This window comes from Homo sapiens, chromosome 2 (assembly GCF_000001405.40).
Source record: "Homo sapiens chromosome 2, GRCh38.p14 Primary Assembly".
Lineage (NCBI taxonomy): Eukaryota > Metazoa > Chordata > Mammalia > Primates > Hominidae > Homo > Homo sapiens.
This window is the reverse complement of record NC_000002.12, coordinates 231615852-231635339: the sequence shown is the minus strand read 5'-3', so window position 1 is coordinate 231635339 and position 19488 is coordinate 231615852. Positions and strand designations below refer to the sequence as shown.

Here is a 19488-nt window from a genome sequence, read left to right as displayed (position 1 = left end):
GTTTCTTGACTGTATACCCAATTCTCCTGGGCCTGTTTTATGTTACATTTACTTAAATCCTGCACCTCCTGTGCCAGAATGTTATTGCATATTTTATTGTCTTAATAAAAAATGCAGTTGATAAATATTCTGAGCCAGGCAAGTCTGAGGCTTCACCCAGCCCCTCCCTGGGTCTGCAGTCTCCTGTGGACAGAGTCTTCCCTGAATCCTTGTGCTCTGAGGTGTGTGGGACCTTGGAATGAGGCCAGGGAGGTGGGAGCGGATGCGGTAAGGAGAGCAGTTGGCAGGATGAATGGGCGAGGGGCTCTTGAGGAGCGACCTGGAGGTTGGACTGCAGGTAACCAGACCCCTGATACTGAGCCAGGTGTCTGGGGTGAGGAGGCCTCTGCTGAAGAGGATGGAGTGGACAGACTGAGTCAGGATTCAGGCCCTTACCCACATGGCTGTCACCATGGAGTTGGGCTGTCCTGGGCTTTCCCAGGGCACAGATCTTGTGGGACCTGCCTGTGAGAGACCCCGCTGCCATGAGGAAAGGCAACCTGGAGAAAACCCTTTTATGGAAAAGCTGCCAGGTCACCCGAGCTTTCCTTTGCAACGTCACTCAATTCCCTCCTCTCATTCCCTAGTAGGGCCCAGGCCTGTCACCTGTCAGCTCTCCTGTCTCTAGCAGGATGGTTTCATCCTCAGGGTAGACATGAAAGTAGATTGGCCCTGGCCTAGGTAGGGTTGGAACTGCCCTGTTTCTCTCTATCCCTTCACCCTACCCTGTAACATGGTGCCTCAGTATGGGCCCCATGCCCAGCCAAGCCCAGCTCAGGCTTGCAGGCCTAGCAGTCCCAGCAGTCCCCTCCCCTCCCCTCCCCTCCCCCTCCCCCTTCTTTCTTTCTTTCCTTCTTTCTTCCTTTTTTTCTTCTTTTCTTTCTTTTCTTTCTTTCTCTCTGTCTCTCTCTCTCTATATATTTAATTTTGAGACACAGTCTCTCTCTCTCATCCAGGCTGGAGTGCAGTGTTGCAATCTCAGCTCACTGTAGCCTTGTCCTTGGCTCACTGCAGTCTCGACCTCCGGGGCTCAAGAGATTCTCCTGCCTCAGCCTCCTGAGTAGCTGGGACTACAGGCATACGCCACCATGCCCTGCTGGTTTTGTATTGTTTGTTGAGACAGGGTTTGGCAGTGTTGCCCAGGCTGGTCTCCAACTCCTGGGCTCAAGTGCGGGATTACAGGTGTGAGCCACCGTGCCAGCCAGGCCTTTCATGCTTTGGCCAGAGAGTCAGTTGTTTCCTCTACTTCTTCCCTACGTGTGTGTTAGTCCTGCCATTTTCCACTCCCGTTCTCCTCGTCCTGGCCCTCCTCCCCTGGGGCCTATGCTATTATACTCTCAGAGTCTCCAGGCTGGTCAAGAAATACACATACCTGCGTGTGCACACACGTGCACACACACACAGGCGCACACACACACAGGCACACACACACATAAGCATGCTGCTTATTTGTAACCCGTATACACACACACACACACACACACACACACACACTCTCACACACCGTCACACTGTCTCCTTACCCTTACCCTTGGTCTCTACACTCACACAGACACACAGACGCAGACACACTGCTTTATTTGTAGCCTCTACATACACGCCTGCCTGCACACACACACTCACACACTCACATGTGCACGCATAGAAATATGCACCGGTGTTTTCCTCTGAACATAATTTTTTCTGGTTTCTCACATGCCTTTTAACCCTCCTCTCCTATCAGCTTCCTTCTCTTCTCAAGCCCAACTTCAATGAGTGGGTGCTGTTGGCTGGGTACCTCACAGCTTCACTGGCTCAGCTCTCAGGTGGAGCCCAGGAGGGTACTGCCCCGAGTGAGAGGTGTCAGCCCCTGTGAGCACTGTGCTGCCACCCTCACTGCTGAGCTGCTCTGGTGGTGGAGGAGGACCTGCCCATCTGACATCCAGCACCACCCTTTCCAGGCAAATCTTCTCCACACTGGCCAGCCCCTGGGTGGTTCATGCAGCCTTTTCAGAAGGTGGATAAAGAGGGTAAGGAGAGGGTTCCAGGCGCGCTCCTTTCAGTGCCTCAAAGCTCGTCTCTGCAAACTGTCACCCTCAGCCTTCTGTGAGCTTCTGGCAGCTCCACCTTCCAGGGAAAAAGGGACCAGTTCCAGAGGTTCCCCTAGTGCAGCTCACCCCAGCCCCCAAACATTTTCTGACAACCAGGTCTTCCAGAAACCCCAGGGCCTCCTGAGATGGGCGTATAGCTCCATCTTTCGCACAGAAGTCTCGTGATGTATTCATGGTATGGCTGGTTGAGAAGGGCCCCTGAACAGCTCCCCACCTCCTCTGAAGGAGGAGGAACAGGAAGATATCAATAGACAGGACTCAGGCCTCTCACAACATAACGTCATACAAGAAAAACAAACAAAAAGTTAAAATGATGAAACATTCCCAGAAGTCCTGGATTAGATTCCTATTGCTGTTGTAACGAATTCCCACAAATTTAGTGACTTAAAACATTGAAATTTATTTATTCTCGTACATTTCTGGAGGTCAGAAGTCTACAGTGAAGGGTTGGGGATGGTGGCTCATGCCAGGAATCCCAGCACGTTGGGAGGCCGAGGCGGGTGGATCACTTGAGCTTAGGAGTTTGAGACCAGCCTGGGTAACGTGGCAAAACCCCGTCTCTACAAAAAAATACAAAAATTAGCTGGGCACAGTGGCGTGCACCTGTAGTCCCAGCTACTTGCGGGGCTGAGGTGGGAGGATCGCTTGAGTCCAGGAGGTCGAGGCTGCAGTGAGCTGAGATTGTGCCACTGCACTGCAGCCTGGGTGACAAACAAAGAAAAAAGAGGCTACAATGAAGGTGTTGACAGGGCCATGTTTTTTCTGGAGGCCTCAGGGAAGAATCTTTTCCTTGTCTCTTCCAGCTTCTAGAAACTGTCTGTATTCCCTGGCTCGTGGCCCCTTCCCGCATCTTCAAAGCACATTACCCCAACTTCCACTTCCGTTGTCACATTTCCGCTTTCTGACTTTGACCTTCCTGCCTCCCTCTTACAAGGAACCTTGTGATGATGTTGGATCCACTCAGAAAATTCAGGATTATCTCCATCTCAAGACATATAATCACATCTGCAAAGTTTCCTTTACAACATGAAGGTTCTGAGAATTAGGATAGCGGGTGGACATTTGTGGAGGTGCCACTATTCAGCCCAGCACAAATATAAAATGAAATATCATAAACACACATGTGTAATATGTATTAAATACATATTAATATTTTGCCTCATTTTCTTCAGCTTTTTTTTTTTTTTTTTTTTTGAGACGGAGTCTCGCTCTGTCACCCAGGCTGGTGTGCAATGGCGCGATCTCGGCTTACTGCAACCTCCACCTTCCAGGTTCACGCCATTCTCCTGCCTCCGCCTCCGGAGTAGCTGGGACTACAGGCGCCTGCCACCACACCCGGCTAATTTCTTTTGTATTTTAGTAGAGACAAGGTTTCACCATGTTTGCCCAGGCTGGTCTCGAACTCCTGAGCTCAGGCAATCCGTCCGCCTCTGCCTTCCAAAGTGCTAGGATTACAGGCGTTAGCCACCGTGCTTGGCCTTCTTCAGATTTTTTTAAAAAGAAATAAAGCTTTACAGAAATAGCTAAAGCCCTCTATGGCTGTTCTCTCCCTCTCTCCCCAGAGGTGACCATTATCCTGAGGTAGGTGTAAATCACCCCCATGTATGTAAATCACCCTCGTGTATGTTTTTTTGTTGTTGTTTTACTACATATTATAAATGTCTTTCTAAACAGAACTTACTATTTTGTGTGTGTGTTTTGGAACTTTACATAAATGGAATCACTATGTGTACCATTTTGCAACTTTTGCTTCTTTTTTTCTTCTTTTTTTTTTGGACAGAGGAGTCTCACTCTGTCACTCAGGCTGGAGTGCAGTGGTGCAGTGGCGCTGCCTCGGCTCACTGCAACCTCCACCTCTCGGGTTCAAGCAATTCTCCTGCCACAGCCTCCCAATTAGCTGGGATTATGACTGTAATCCCAGCTACTCAAGAGGCTGAGGCAGGAGGATCACTTGAGGCCAGGAGTTCAAGACCAGCCTGGGTAACATAGGGAGACCTCATCTCATCTCTAAAACAAAAGAAAGGCACAAGCCACCATGCCTGGCTAATTTTTGTATATTTTGTACAGATGGTGTTTCACCATGTTGTCTAGGCTGGTCTCGAACCCCTGAGCTCAAGTGATCCGCTTGCCTCGGCCTCCCAAAGTGCTGGGATATCAGGCGTGAGCCACCGTGCCCGGCCAACTTTTGCTTCTTCTTTTTTGTTTTTTGTTTTCGAGAAGGAGTTTTGCTCTGTTGCCCAGGCTGAAGTGCAATGGCACGATCTTGGCTCACCGCAATCTCCATCTCCCGGGTTCAAGTGATTCTCTTGTCTCAGCCGCCCGAGTAGCTGGGATTACAGGTGCCCACGACCACACCCAGCTAACTTTTGCATTTTTAGGAGAGACCAGGTTTCACCATCTTGGCCAGCCTGGTCTTGAGCTCCTGACCTCGTGATCCACCTACCTCGGCCTCCCAGAGTTCTGGGATTACAGGTGTGAGCCACTGCGCCCAGCCAAAAATGAAGATCTTGTTCATTCATTTTCACTGCAGCATAGAATACCAACTTGAGCAAGTTTGGGTTCATTTTGTCCTTTCTTTTGCTGAGAGAAAATTAGGTTGTTTTAACTTTTTTTTTGCAATTGCATACAGTGCTCCAGTAAATATCTTTGTACTTGTTTCTTGAACACCTGTTCCGAAAGCCTAGGTAAGGAACTCTGAAGAGCACATTCACACACCTCCAGCATTACCAGGTATTGCTACGTGCTCTCAAAGTACTACCAACAACAGTGTCATTTCAGGCTAGGCGCAGTGGCTGAAGCCTGTAATCCCAGCACTTTGGGAGGCCGAGGTGGGCGATCACTTTGGCTCAGGAGTTCGAGACCAGCCTGGGCAATATGGCAAAACCCCATCTCTACACAAAATACAAAAATTACTCAGACGTGGTGGTGAGTGCCTGTAGTCCCAGCTACTTTGGACGCTGAGGTGGGAAGATCACCTGAGCCCAGGTTTTTTTTTTTTTTTTTTTTTTGAGACAGAGTCTTGCTCTATCACCCAGGCTGGAGTGCAGTGGCACAATCTCGGCTCACTGCAACCTCTGCCTTCTGGGATCAAGCGATTCTCCTGCCTCAGCCTCCCGTTTAGCTGGGATTACAGGCGCATGCCACACCATGCCTGGCTAATTTTTTGTATTCTTAATAGACACGGGATTTCACCGTGTTAGCCAGGATGGTCTCGATCTCCTGACCTTGTGATCTGCCTGCCTTGGCCTCCCAAAGTGCTGGAATTACAGGCGTGAGCCACCGTGCCTGGCCCCTGGGCCCAGGTTTGTTGAGGGTGCAGTGAGCCCAGAATGTGCCTCTGCAGTCCAGCCTGGGCAACCGAGTAAGACCCTGTCTCTTGGCTGGGCGTGGTGGCTCAAGCCTGTAATCCCAGCACTTTGGGAGGCCGAGGCGGGCGGATCACGAGGTCAGGAGATTGAGACCATCCTGGCTTACACAGTGAAACCCCGTCTCTACTAAAAATACAAAAAAAAAAAAAAAAAAAATTAGCCGGACGTGGTGGCAGGTGCTTGTAGTCCCAGCTACTCGGGAGGCTGAGGCAGGAGAATGGCGTGAACCCGGAAGGCGGAGCTTGCAGTGAGCCGAGATTGCACCACTGCACTCCAGCCTGGGCGACAGAGCAAGACTCTGTCTCAAAAAAAAAAAAAAAAATAGTACTCATTTCCCCATATCCTCACCAGTATCTGGCATTTTCAGATTTACTATTTTTCTTTTGTCTTAGAGACGAGACGAGGTCTCCCTGTGTACCCAGGCTGGTCTTGAACTCCTGGCCTCAAGTGATCCTCCTGCCTCAGCATCTTGAGTAGCTGGGATTACAGTCATAAGCCACCATGCCCAGCAGATTTACTATTCTTTTTATTTACTTGTTTAAAGGGACTTTTTTTTTGTTTTTTGAGATGGAGTCTCGCTCTGTCGCCCAGGCTGGAGTGCAGTGGCATGATCTTGGTTCACTGCAACCTCCACTTCCCGGGTTCAAGGTCTTCTCCTGGGTCGGCCTCCCAAATAGCTGGGACAACAGGTGTGCACCACCACGCCTGGCTAATTTTTTTTTTTTTTTGTATCATTAGTAGAAACAGGGTTTCACCATGTTGGCCAGGCTGGTCTTGTACTCCTGGCCTCAAGTGATCAGCCTGCCTCGGCCTCCCAAAGTGTTGGGATTACAGGCGTGAGCCACCACATCTTTTTTTTTTTTTTTTTTTTTCTGAGAGGGAGTCTTGCTCTGTTGCCCAGGCTGGAGTGCAGTGGCGCGATCTCGGCTCACTGCAAGCTCCGCCTCCCGGTGTCACGCCATTCTCCTGCCTCAGCCTCCCGAGTAGCTGGGACCACAGGCGCCTGGCTAATTTTTTCTATTTTTAGTAGAGACGGGGTTTCACTGTGTTAGCCAGGGTGGTCTCGATCTCCTGACCTCGTGATCCACCCGCCTTGGCCTCCCAAAGTGCTGGGATTACAGGCGTGAGCCAGCACACCCGGCTGAGCCACCACATCTGATCATACTATTCTTTTTAAATTTTATTTCTTTTTATAAATTATGTTTAAAGTTAATTGAGATGGGGTCTCACTGTGTTGCCCAGGCTCAAGTGCTGGAATTATAGGCATGAGCCACCATGCCTGGCTCAGATTTACTGTTTAAAAAAAAGATTGGCCAGGCGCAGCAGCTCATGCCTGTATCCCAGCACTTTGGGAGGCCAAAGTGGGTGAATTTCTTGAGCTTAGGGTGAATTTCTTCTAGGCCAGCCTGGCCAACACGGCAAAACCCCATCTCTAAAAAAAAAAAAAAAAGTTAGCGGGGTGTGGTGGTTAGTCCCAGCTACTCAGGAAGCTGAGGCAGTAGGATCGCTTTGAACTTGAGAGGTCAAGGCAGCAGTGAGCTGAGATCACACCACTGCACTCCAGCCTGAGTGACAAAGTGAAAGCTTGTTTCAAAAAAAAAATAGATTTTTCTTATGTATTTTCCAGTCAATCTGTACTGCTCCCAATCTTTTCTTGACTGTTCATGCAGCTGGGAACCTTCTTCCATCTTGACCCTGGACGACAAATCCACCCAGGACCTTCTGAGCCCTGCATGGGACCCCTCCCCAGATCCCCTTTCTGTGAAGCCCGTGACTCCAGACTGCTCTGCCCACGGTTTCACTGTTGCCAGCCTGAGAAGAGCTTTACCCTGTGTGGGTCTGGAGCTTTCTGCTCTTCCCACAGAATGCCCTGGAATGCGCAGAGATTTTCCCATGGGAGGAATGAAGTCTTTTGCGTTACTACCCTTTAGTCTACATGAATTAGGCAAGTCTAACCCTGATTATGTGAATAAATCCATTCCAGAATATTCCGTCCTGAACTCCAAAAATAAATGGCTGTTTTTTTCCTGCCCCCAAGGGTGTTGTGAAGTATACCTGCCAATGAACTGAAAACTCTGTCCTGGAATGTGGTGGGAGGGAGGAAGAAATCCAAAGACTCTGACCTTTCTTCCCAGAATAAGCCTCATTTCTTTACCAGCCTGTGGCTTTTAGAAACCAAATCCCCTTCCACTTTAGGTTTTGTTTTGTTGTTGTGGATGTCGTTGTTGTTTGTTTTTGAAACAGGGTCTCACTCTGTTGCCCAGGCTGGAGTGCAGTGGCGCGATCACGGCTCACTGCAGCCTCAACCTCTTGGGCTCAAGGGATTCTCCTGCCTCAGCCTCCCAAACAGCTAGGATTACAGGTACACGCCACCATGCCTAGCTAATTTTCAGTTTAGGTTTTTAACTCTTCCTTTTAAAATCCAACTAGGCCTGGTGCAGTGGCTCACACATGTACAGCACTTTGGGAGGCTGAGGCAGGAGGATCACTTGAGCTCAGGAGTTTGAGACCAGCCTGGGCAACGCGGCAATACCGTCTGTACAAAAAATACCAAAAATTAATTGGGTGTGGTGGCATGTTTCTGTGGTCCCAGCTACTCAGAAGGCTGAGGTGGGAGGATTGCTTGAGCCCAGGAGGTCACGGCTGCACTGAGCCACTGTCATGCCACTGCACTCCAGCCTGGGTGACAAAGAGAGACCCTGTCTCAAAAACTAATAATAATAAAATAAAATAAAAATAAAAGTCCGGGCGCAGTGGCTCACGCCTGTAATCCCAGCACTTTGGGAGGCCGAGGCGGGTGGATCACCTGAGGTCAGGAGTTCGAGACCAGCCTGGCCAACATGGGGAAGCCCCGTCTCTACTAAAAATACAAAAAGAATTAGCTGGGTGTAGTGGCAGGTGCCTGTATTCCCAGCTATTCGGGAGGCTGAGGCAGGAGAATCGCTTGAACTCAGGAGGTGGAAGTTGCAGTGAGCAGAGATCGCGCTATTGCACTCCAGCCTGGGCAACAAGAACAAAACTCCGTCTCAAAAATAAAATAAAATAAAATAAAATAAAATTAAATTAAAAAAAATAAAGTCCAACTATAGCAGTGGGCTAAATATCTTTAGCTCCCTTAACATGGCAGAGGTCATCTCCGAGTTATTTGATCTTCATGATTCATTTCTACTCCTGCCACTCCCTAAACAGACTGCAATAGTATCATCCTCCTGTATATGTGCTCAGGTGAAAGAGATTGCTCAGCTATCTGGTTCCAACCTGATCGTTCGTTGAGCCTTGTTTATATCTCTGGCTGTAAATAGCCATTTTGTATATTCCCATATCCCCACTAGTGTGGCTTTGCCCGTAGTGTACCCCTGCAAAGGATGGTTCCTAGGCGACTGCACCTGCCAATGGGGAAAGGACTGCTCGCTTCAATCGGGACCCAGGTGCTGCTAGTGGGGTCCCCCTTAACCTCCTATTGTGGAACAAGGACTGGTGGGATGCTCAGGGGTCCTTACATTTGGACATTCAACTATTGAGAGTGAATCCTTTTCTGAGTTCTGGGCATGAAATGGGTAATTCAGAAGCTCCCCTTTCTTGCACACCAATGCTTATGATTTTTTTTTTTTTTTTTTGAGACACAGTCTCACTCTATCACCCAGGCTGGAGTGCAGTGGCGTGATCTCTGCTCACTGCAACCTCTGCCTCCTGGGTCCAAGCAGTTCTCCTACCTCAGCCTCCTGAGTAGCTGGGATTACCGGTGCATGCCACCATGCCCGGCTAATTTTTGTATTTTTAGTAGAGACGGGGTTTCACCATGTTGGTCAGGCTGGTCTCAAACTCCTGACTTCGTGATCTGCCCGCCTCGGCCTCCCGAAGTGCGGGGATTACAGGCATGTGCCACCATGCATGGCTACCAATGGTTATGATTCTAACACTCAGCACTGTGACCCCCTGTTCGACTGTTTCTGGGATGGAGACAGGGAAACCGCCTTTGTGGGTCCTCTTCCGCCATCTAAAGGGCATACAAAACTCCATTTCAAGGGACTTTCAGGAGCAGCTTTCCAGAGAATAACCCAGACCCACAAAGCCCAGGTAGACACCAGCCCTAACTGTCCTTCTGATAGAGGCTACAGGAAACTCAAAATGCCTGACAGAGATGTCAGGAGGCAGAGCGACAAGCCAGCCAGAGAGGAAGTCACCCAGAAACCAAAGGAATTGAAGTCCTCATCTCAAGTGCTTGTTTCAAAAAACAAGTGTTTCCTAATGGAGCTTGGGGCGAGTCCTGGGCAGCCACTAAGCCATGTTCTCTTGGCAGGTGTCTGGGCCGGGCCATCGGTGGCTTCTCATGAGGACAAAGAGAGCCCACGGCCATGCTCGCTCATGCACCATCTCCATTAGGCTCCTCTCTCCAGGTTTTGTAGATTCCTGAATTATCTTTGGCTGAGACATTTGATCAATCATCTGAAGTTTTAAAAAGAGCTAGGCAAAGCTTTTTTTTTCTTTCTTTCTTGGCAGAACAGTTTATCTCTTGTCTTGAATTAAGGACTCACTGAACTCCTAATTACTCAATTGGAAATAAATTTTTTTTTGCTGGGCGCAGTGTCTCACGCCTGTAATCCCAGCACTCTAGGAGGCCGAGGCGGAGGTCAGGAGTTTGAGACCAGTCTGGCCAACATAGTGAAACCCCATCTCTACTAGAAATACAAAAAATTAGCCAGGCGTGGTGGCAGTCACCTGTAATCCCAGCGACTGAGGAGGCTGAGGCAGGAGAATCGCTTGAACCTGGGAGGCAGAGGTTGCAATGAGCCGAGATCACCCCATTGCACTCCAGCCCAGGCAACAGTGTGAGACTCCATCTCAAAAAAAAAAAAGGAAAAAAAAAAGAAATTTAAACATTTTTTTTTTTTTTGAGACAGAGTCTCGCTCTGTTGCCCAACCTGGAGTGCACTGACGAAATCTTGGCTCACTACAACCTCTGCCTCCCGGGTTCAAGCGATTCTCCTGCCTCAGCCTCCTGAGTAGCTGGGATTACAGGTGCCTGCCACCATACCCAGCTTAATTTTTGTGTTTTTAGTATAGACAGGGTTTCACCATGTTGACCATACTGGTCTCGAACTCCTGACCTCAGATGATCCACCTGCCTTGACCTCCCAAAGTGCTGGGATTACAGGTGTGAGCCACCACGCTCGGCCAAAACAGTGTTTCTTTAAGATTTACTCAAAGTACATTTCTTTTCTAATTCAAACATGCCTTTATTACAGTGGCAAGAAAGCATTAACTTTACTGTAATTGTTGAAGAGTTATGTTTTTTCTTATAACAGTAAACATGCATCTTAAATATCAACTCATAAAATGTATGTTAAAATAGGCCCACCAGCTTACACAAAATAAGGTATAAATATTTGTTAAAAATTTGAACAAATGGCTGGGCGCAGTGGCTCAGGCTTGTAATCCCAGCACTTTGGGAGGCAGAGGCGGGTGGATCACCTGAGGTCAGGAGTTCGAGACCAGGCTGGCCAACATGGTGAAACCCCGTCTTTACTAAAAACACAAAAATTAGCTGGGCGTGTTGGTGGGTGCCTGTAATCCCAGCTACTCGGAAGGCTGAGGCAGGAGAATCGCTTGAACCCAGGAGGAGGAGGTTGCAGTGAGCCAAGATGGCACCGCTGCACTCCAGCCTGGGCGACAGAGCAGGACTCCGTCTCAAAAAAAAAAAAAAAAAAATTGAACAAATGGCCGGGTTCGGTGGCTCACGCCTATAATCCCAGCACTTTGGGAGGCCGAGGTGGGCGGATCATGAGGTCAAGAGATTGAAACCATCTTGGCCAACATGGTGAAATCCCATCTCTACTAAAAATACAAAAATTAGCTGGGTGTGGTGGTGCGCACCTGTAGTCCCAGCTACTCATGAGGCTGAGGCAGGAGAATTGCTTGAACCCGGGAGGCAGAGGTTGCAGTGAGCCAAGATCGTACCACTGCACTCTGGTCTGGTGACAGAGTATAACTCTGTCTAAAAAAAAAAAAAATTGAACAAATATCTAATAAAATATTAAGAAACCAAGGCTTGGTGGGCAGGTGGGGGTGTGGTGTGGTGGCTCATGCCTGTAATCCCAGTACTTTGGGAGGCTGAGGCAGGAGGATCGCTTGAGCCAGGAGTTTTTCTTCTTTTGAAACAGTCTTACTCTGTTGCCCAGGATGGAGTGCAGTGGGGCAATCCTAGCTCACTGCAACCTCTGCCTCTGAGGTTCAAGCGATTCTCATGCCTCAGCCTCCCAAGCAGCTGGGACAACAAGCGTGCACCTCCATGTCCAGCTAATTTTTTGTATTTTAGCAGAGACAGGGTTTCACCATATTGGCCACGCTGGTCTCAAACTTCCGATCTCAAGTGATCCAGCCACCTCGGCCTGCCAAAGTGCTGGGATTACAGGCTGAGCCCCCGTGCCCGGCCTCTCTTTCTTTTTTGAGACAGGGTCTCATTCTGTTGCCCAGGCTGAAGTGTGGTAGCACGATCAGGGCTCACTGCCACCCCAACATCTCCAGCTCAAGTGATAGTTCTGTCTCGGCCCCCTTGGTGGTATCTGGGACTACAGGCGCATTCCAGCACGCCTGGCTAAATTTTGTTTGAATTTTAGTAGAGACGAGTTCTCACTATGTTGGCCAGGCTGGTCTCGAATTCCTGAGCTCAAGTAATCCTCTCAGCTTAGCCTCCCAAAGTGCTGGGATTACAGACGTGAATCAGACGTGAATCATCATGCCTGCCCCTGGGCCCAGGTTTCAGACCCCTTTGTTTTTTTTTTTTTTTTTTTTTTGGAGACATTGTCTCACTCTATTGCCCAGTTGTGAGATCTCTGCTCACTGCAACCTCCGCCTCCCGGGTGTAAGTGATTCCCTGCTTCAGCCTCCCAAGTAGCTGAGACTACAAGCGCCCACCACCATGCCAGGCTAATTTTTGTATTTTTAGTAGAGATGGGGTTTTGCCATGTTGGCCAGGCTGCTCTCGAACTCCTGGCCTCAAGGGATCCGCCTGCCTCAGTCTCCCAAAGTGCTGGGATACCCAGCCCCTACAGTATTAGTCCCACATTTTAGCTGTGGACTGCCTGGGGCCGAGCTGTTTAGTTGCGGAAGAGCTGGAGCCTGGAGAGGCAGAGGCCCCAGAGCAGCAGCATCCTGGGCCTGGAGCTGGGGCTGGGCAGAGGCAGGGCACTGAGGACAAGCAGAGAGAGTGGAGCAGGCAGTCCTTCCGGATGCTTGGGTTAGGTCCGAGAGGGGAGCCAAGGTATCCCAGGTACCTGGCCAAGAGGTCAGGCCAAAATTAGAGTCACCAGATCTCAAGGATCAAACAGAAAAATGAGTATAAAGAGAGGACACCAAGCCTGGCACAGTGGCTCACACCTGTAATCGCAATGCTTTGGGAGACAAAGGTGAGAGGATAGCTTGATGCCAGGGGTCCCAGAGCAGTCTGGGCAACAAAGCAAGATGCCATCTCTACAAAAGAAAAAATTTTAAAAAATGAGAGGACACCGGCCGGGCGCGGTGACTTATGCCTGTAATCCCAGCACTGGGAGGTCAGGAGTTTGAGACCAGCCTGACCAACATGGTGAAACTCCGTCTCTACTAAAAATACAAAAATTAACTGGGCATGGTGGTGGGCACCTGTAATCCCAGCTACTCAGGAAGCTGAGGCAGGAGAATTGCTTGAACCCGGGAGGCAGAGGCTGCAGTGAGCCGAGATCACGCCACTGCACTCCAGCCTGGGCGACAGTGCGAGACTCTGTCTCAACAACAACAACAACAAAAAAAAAAAAAAAAAAGAGAGAGAGAGAGAGGACACCAAAAATGGTGCAGGTTTAAGGAGGACAGAGGGAAGAGGAGAGCTGATATGATACAAGGGGCATGCTTCACGGAATATTTTAAATTTTAGATTATGGGATCCAGGGGCAGTGTTTTGAGCCCATTTCTGAGACCATTTCTCCTGCAGCTTAGATTATAATGGGGCATCAGCTCTGCCTAAGAGGCAACGAGGACAGACCAGACAATGATGAAACAGAAACAGAAACAGGTTCCCCAGCTCTGGGGAGAAGGCTCATTCCCGCCCCCCTCATCCCCCGCACCCACCGCCGCTGCAATCTGCATCTCCGGTAAACAAGTCCCAGGGAATGTAGTAAAACTCCCGTGGTTTCCAGGAACCTTGTCACACTGCAAAAAAAAAAACCCACAAAAAACAAAAAAACAAACTCTTGGAGGCCCGCATCAGTGTCTGGGGGTGGGGCGGGGGTTCTCCTTGGAGGACTTTGGAGAGACTTGGAAATTCTGAGCACAGATAATGGAGGCTCCAGGTGCTTGGGTCACAGCCAGGAAAATCATCCAAGACGCAGCACGATGCGGGAATGGCGCGCAGCCCTGCGGAAGGCGGCCAGGCCCCACAGATCGGGGACAGGGGTAGCTGTCACCCCTCCCCTGGGGACCCGGATGCTGGGGAAAGGAGACTCTCCAGGAAACTGAACACAAGGTGGCCTACATTTGCCTGGGAAGGCCAGGAAGTCGGGGTAGGGGTGGGAGGATGGAGTGGGCTGTCCCCATGGCTACCCTCCAGGGCGGATCTGTGCACTCCAGGGCCCTCGGACACTCCCCACCTCCTGACGGTACAGGCAGCACCCTTGGAGGTCTTCTCAGGTGAGGCTGCCGCTAGTGACAAAGGACTAGTGACAAAGGACTTGTGTGGCCCCTCCTGTAAATGCCTGGGGCTATGTGCTGAGCAACAAAGCTAATAGGGCCACACCTTGGTCGCCTTCCGTCTTAACTTGTTGCTAAATTCCTTCAGTTTTCAGATCAATTAGACGCATAAATTTCTGATGACTGCCACGGGATGTTCCGCATCTCCATCCATACTGCGGAGATGCCGCTATGAGGAACAACGAGTAACCTTCAAAGGCGGCTGACCCTACTGATTAATTACAGTGAGCCCCCACAGCCTCATATCAATAACAGGGAAACGAAGTCAGTTTCTGCTGACTTTTGCTCTCGACAGGTTGAATGTTGAGTTCACGTGGACACCACAGAATCATGATATCCTACAGATTCAGCTACTTGGGGACATATTTTAAGCTAGCACTTTCTCCAAAGCCTCTCAGGAAGGCAGCAACTGCTTGTGAGCTAGCAGAGAAAGGTCTGCACAGCCTCAATCATTCATTTCACAAATGCTGAGACTCGAGGCTGCTGTGTGTCACGCTAGCTCCAAGGTTGCAAAGAGAGGACAGGCCCTATATGGAGGAAAGGATGGGGCCATGACCACGGTGCCACAGGCTGTAGGCCCCCAAGGACAGCCCTGTGCTGCATTTGTGACTGTGTCTCTTGCACCTAACAGGAGGCCCAGCATTTAGCAGATGCTCAATAAAAACAGTGACAAATGAATAATACAATGTTATGTCTTTGATAACAGTGATCTGGGAGTTCAGGGAGAAAGCAGGTAATTCTGCTTGGGAATTAAAGGCTTTGAAGAAGGAATGACAGGTCCCAGCTGGTCTTTGGAATGTAGGAGGCAATGGGCAGAGAAGGAAGGGCAGTCCAGGAGGAGGGCAACAAGCAGGAGGGTGTGATGTGGCAGGAGGTCAGACCCAAAGGAATCAGCATGAGGAGGACTCTTGAATTGCAGGTGGTCCAGCCCCTACAGACTCAATGCTCTGTTCACGGATTGTACATAGATACTGTCCACATGATAAATTCCTCTTAGAATCAGGAGCCAGTTTCCCTCTTTATTTTTTATTTTTGTAGACATGGAGGTCTCATGATGTTGCCCAGGCTGGTGTCAAACTCCTGGCCTCAAGCAATCCTCCCACCTTGGCCTCCCAAAGTGTTGGGATTACAGGCGAGAGCCACTATGGCTGTCTGGGTTCAATCTTTGAAAACATTTTCTTTTTTCAAATAGTAAAAGTATGCTGTGGTTTCTTTTTCACCTTGACTGTTGGGAGGCTCCTGAAGTGCTGGCTTCCTTATGTTTTTTGGTATCGTCTAACAGCCCCACAGAGGACTTTTTACCTAATAGGCTCTATATTGGTTCTCTGTTGCTACATAAGAATGTCACCACAAAGGTAGAGGGTTAAAACAATACGCACTTAGCTTGGTGCGGGTGCACACACCTATAGTCCCAGAGACTTAGGAGGTTGAAGCAGGAGGAACACTTGAGTCCAGGAATTCACAGCCAGACTGGGCAACATAGTAAGACCCCATCTCTACAAAAATGAAACAAACTAACAAAAACACATATTTATTATCTCACAAATTTCTTTTTTCTTTTCTGTCTTTCTTTCTTTTTTTTCTTTTTTGAGACAGAGTCTCGCTCTGTCGCCCAGGCTGGAGTGCAGGGAGGTGATCTCGGCTCACTGCAAGCTCCACCTCCCGGGTTCACACCGTTCTCCTGCCTCAGCCTCCCGAGTAGCTGGGACTACAGGCACCCGCCACCACGCCCGGCTAATTTTTTGTATTTTTAGTAGAGATGGGGTTTCACTGTGTTAGCCAGGATGGTCTCAATCTCCTGACCTCGTGATCCACCCACCTCGGCCTCCCAAAGTGCTGGGATTACAGGCGTGAGCCAACTCGCCTGGCCTTTTTTTTTTTTTTTTTTTGGAGACAGAGTCTTGCTCTGTCGCCCAGGTTGGAGTGCTGTGGCGAGATCTTGGCTCACTGCAACCTCTGCCTTCCAGGTTCCAGGTTCAAGCGATCCTCCTGCCTCAGCCTCCTGAGTAGCTGGGATTATAGGCGTGTGCCACCACACCTGGCTAATTTTTGTATTTTTAGTAGAGACGGGGTTTTACCATGTTGGTCAGGCACGTCTCGAACTCCTGACCTTGTGATCCACCTGCCTCAGCCTCCCCAAGTGCTGGGATTACAGGTGTGAGCCACCATGCCCGGCCTCACAATTTTCTTTTTCTTTTCTTTTCTTTTTTTTTTTTTTTTTTTTTTTTGAGACGGAGTCTCTCTGTCACCCAGGCTGGAGTGCAATGGTGCCATCTCGGCTCACTGCAACCTCCCCCTCCCGGGTTCAAGTGATTCTCCCACCTCAGCCTCCCAAGTAGGTGGGATTACAGGTACCTGCCATCATGCCCAGCTAATTTTTGTATTTTTGTAGAGATGAGGTTTCACCATGTTGGCCAGGCTGGTCTTGAACTCCTGACCTCAGGTGATCCGCCTGCCTCGGCCTCCCAAAGTGCTGGGATTATAGGCGTGAGCCACCGCACCCAGTCTATCTCACAATTTTCTTACAGGAGTCTGAGCATGGCTCAACTGGGTCCTCTCCAAGCCTGTGATCAAGGTGCAGGCCAGGGCTAGGGTCTCATCTGTGGCTTCACTGGGGAAGGATCTTCTTCCAAGCTCGTGTACTTGTTTGCAGAATTCAGCTACGAGCAGGTTGTTGGACTGAGGGCATCAGTTTCTTGCTCGTAAGCCAACAAGGAAGGAGGCATCCTAGCAAAACTGTCATTACAATTTCATATAACGTACACATAGTCACATCCATCCTGTCACCTTTGCCATATTCTGTTAGTTAGAAGCAAGTCACAGGCCCCACCCACACCCAATGGGGGGCGTCTCAGAAGGGCATGGAGACCAGAGGGATCATGAGCCCACCTTCATGTCGGTCAGCCACGGGTCCTCATCAGATATTAGCTGCTGGTCAATTGAAATGCTCCCTTTGGCAACTGAAGGTATCATTGTTACATGGATGTACTTGTTGTCTCCCCAAGAAGATGGTGAAGTGAGCTCTCTTCCTGCTAAGAATGTTCCCCCGAGCCTCTGCTACAGCACTGGGCACAGGCAAGTGGGTCAATAAATATGAAATGAAGAAATATTATAGGATGCACATTACTGCTGGAAGGACTTGGAGTTTTCTTCCATCAGGGTAATGATCTGACTGGCATACATTTCTCAGTTGACAGCTGTGATTTAAAAAACCCATAAAACAACTGTAACAGCCACAAAGTGGGAACTGCAGCAGACATCGCCGTTACGAATGTGACTCTTCCCAAGAAAAATGTCTCCTAAACCCCAGCACCTATTGTTTTCCTCCTACTCTACAGACGAGCTATGTATATGAACACCACTTCCTGAGTATGCCTGTGCAACACTTTACTAGCACAGTATAGGAGCACAGGCTCTGTGCCAGGCTGCCGCGGTCAACTCCCAGCTGAGCCTCTGCCTGTGTGACCTTGGACAGGTCGCTTCACTTCTTGTGCCTGTTTTCTCATCTCTAAAATGGAAGTGATAATGGTGCCCACCTCCCAGAGTGGTTATGTGGGTTAAATGAATTAACATATGTGAACAGCCTGGCAAGTAGCAAATACTAACTGTTTGCTATCACTATTGGAAGTTTAATTCCATTTTTAGAATGCGTCAAGATCAAAGCATTTCTCTTTGTTTCTGCTTTCCCGAACTCTGCCTTTAAAGGGAGGAGAAAACATTCTGACTAGAAGGAAAGTTCTGGAAAGTGTATGTTTGAGTAGGTGGGAGGTGATGAAGAGGAATAATGCTTCAGGCCAGGACTTAAGATTACACTTGTAATCCTAGCACTTTGGGAGGCCGAGGCTGGAAGATCATTCGAGCTCAGGAGTGAGACCAGCCTGGGCAACATAGTGAGACCCATCTCTATTAAAAATCCAAAAAATTAGCTGGGTGTGTTGGCACGCATCTGTAGTTCCAGCTACTAGGGAGCCTGAGGCAGGAGGATGACTTGAGCCCAGGAAGTTGAGGCTGCAGGGAGCCGTGATTGCACCACTGCACTCCAGCCTGGACAACAGAGTGCAATCTTGTCTCCAAAACAAAAATAGAATATTCTCAGCCTGAGCAAGGACATGGAGATTGAAGGGTGAGCAGTCGATATGACAGCTGAGGATGAAGGAACAGCAAATAGGATTTAGTGGTGCAATCACCTCATCTCTGAGTGACAGAACTTTTGATGTTTGCCCCCTTATGGGAGTCACAACTGGGATCAAGCACCTGCCAACGGGCTCTTTTTCTCTCCTGCTGCCCCAAGGCCGGCCCTGGTCAGGGAGGACAGGTAGAAACCATCTGACACCACTTGAATTGGCACCATTACTATTGGCACCACCGGAATTGACTAGATCTTAAACATGACTTACTCCTCTGTGCAAGGTGAGGGAAGAAGAAAGGAGATGCCAGAGTGCTATCATTTTGGGAACTGGATGGCATCCTGCTCACCCCAATATTTTTAGGTGAGTCTAAGGAGGGCCTGCTTGTCTGATCGGTCTAGTCAATATCAGTTAGCATACTAGGTGAGGAGTTGTGCACCTTGAAGGCCTCTGTTGCTATGGCGTTGAGGGGACTGATGGAGGAGGGAAGCAGGTATCTCGGTTAAAGTTCCCCTTATGGCAGGGCTGGGCCCCAGCCAGGGGCTGTGCCTCTGCTCCTGGAATCTCCCACCAATTCTACAAGGGCAAAGGGCATCTGAGTTATCCTGTGAGCAGCAGGGAACCCAGGTGTGGGATCAAGGCTTTATTTTTTTTAATTCCTTTAATTAATTAATTTTTTTTTTAGAGGGAGTTTCGCTCTTGTTGCCCAGGTTGGAGTGCAATGGCGCGATCTCGGCTCACTGCAACCTCTGCCTCCAGGGTTCAAGCGATTCTCCTGCCAAGTAGCTGGGATTACAAGCATGTGCCACCACACCCGGCTAATTTTGTATTTTTAGTAGAAACGGGGTTTCTCCATGTTGGTCAGGCTAGTCTTGAACTCCCAACCTCAGGTGATCTGCCCGCCTCGGCCTCCCAAAGTGCTGGGATTACAGGCGTGAGCCACCGCGCCTGGCCCTATTTTATTTATTTAGAGACGGAGTCTCGCACTGTCACCCAGGGTGGAGTGCAATGGCACGATCTCGGCTCACTGTAACCTCTGCCTCCCGGGTTCACGCGATTCTCCTGCCTCAGCCTCCCGAGTAGCTGGGATTACAGGCGCACACCACCACACCCGGCTAATTTTTTGCATTTTTAGTAAAGACGGGG

General features: G+C 49.4%; 3 annotated features.

The window, feature by feature from the left end:
• Positions 13928–14222: a silencer, noted in NCBI's record as "tiled region #726; HepG2 Repressive non-DNase unmatched - State 20:ReprD". NCBI's record gives its function as "represses a minimal TATA promoter and a strong SV40 promoter by Sharpr-MPRA in HepG2 cells {active_cell/tissue: HepG2}" and the evidence as "EXISTENCE:reporter gene assay evidence [ECO:0000049][PMID:27701403]".
• Positions 13928–14316: a biological region, named in NCBI's record as "Sharpr-MPRA regulatory region 726".
• Positions 14116–14316: a silencer, noted in NCBI's record as "peak4082 fragment used in MPRA reporter construct". NCBI's record gives its function as "represses an SCP1 promoter by STARR-seq MPRAs in K562 erythroleukemia cells {active_cell/tissue: K562}" and the evidence as "EXISTENCE:reporter gene assay evidence [ECO:0000049][PMID:32103011]".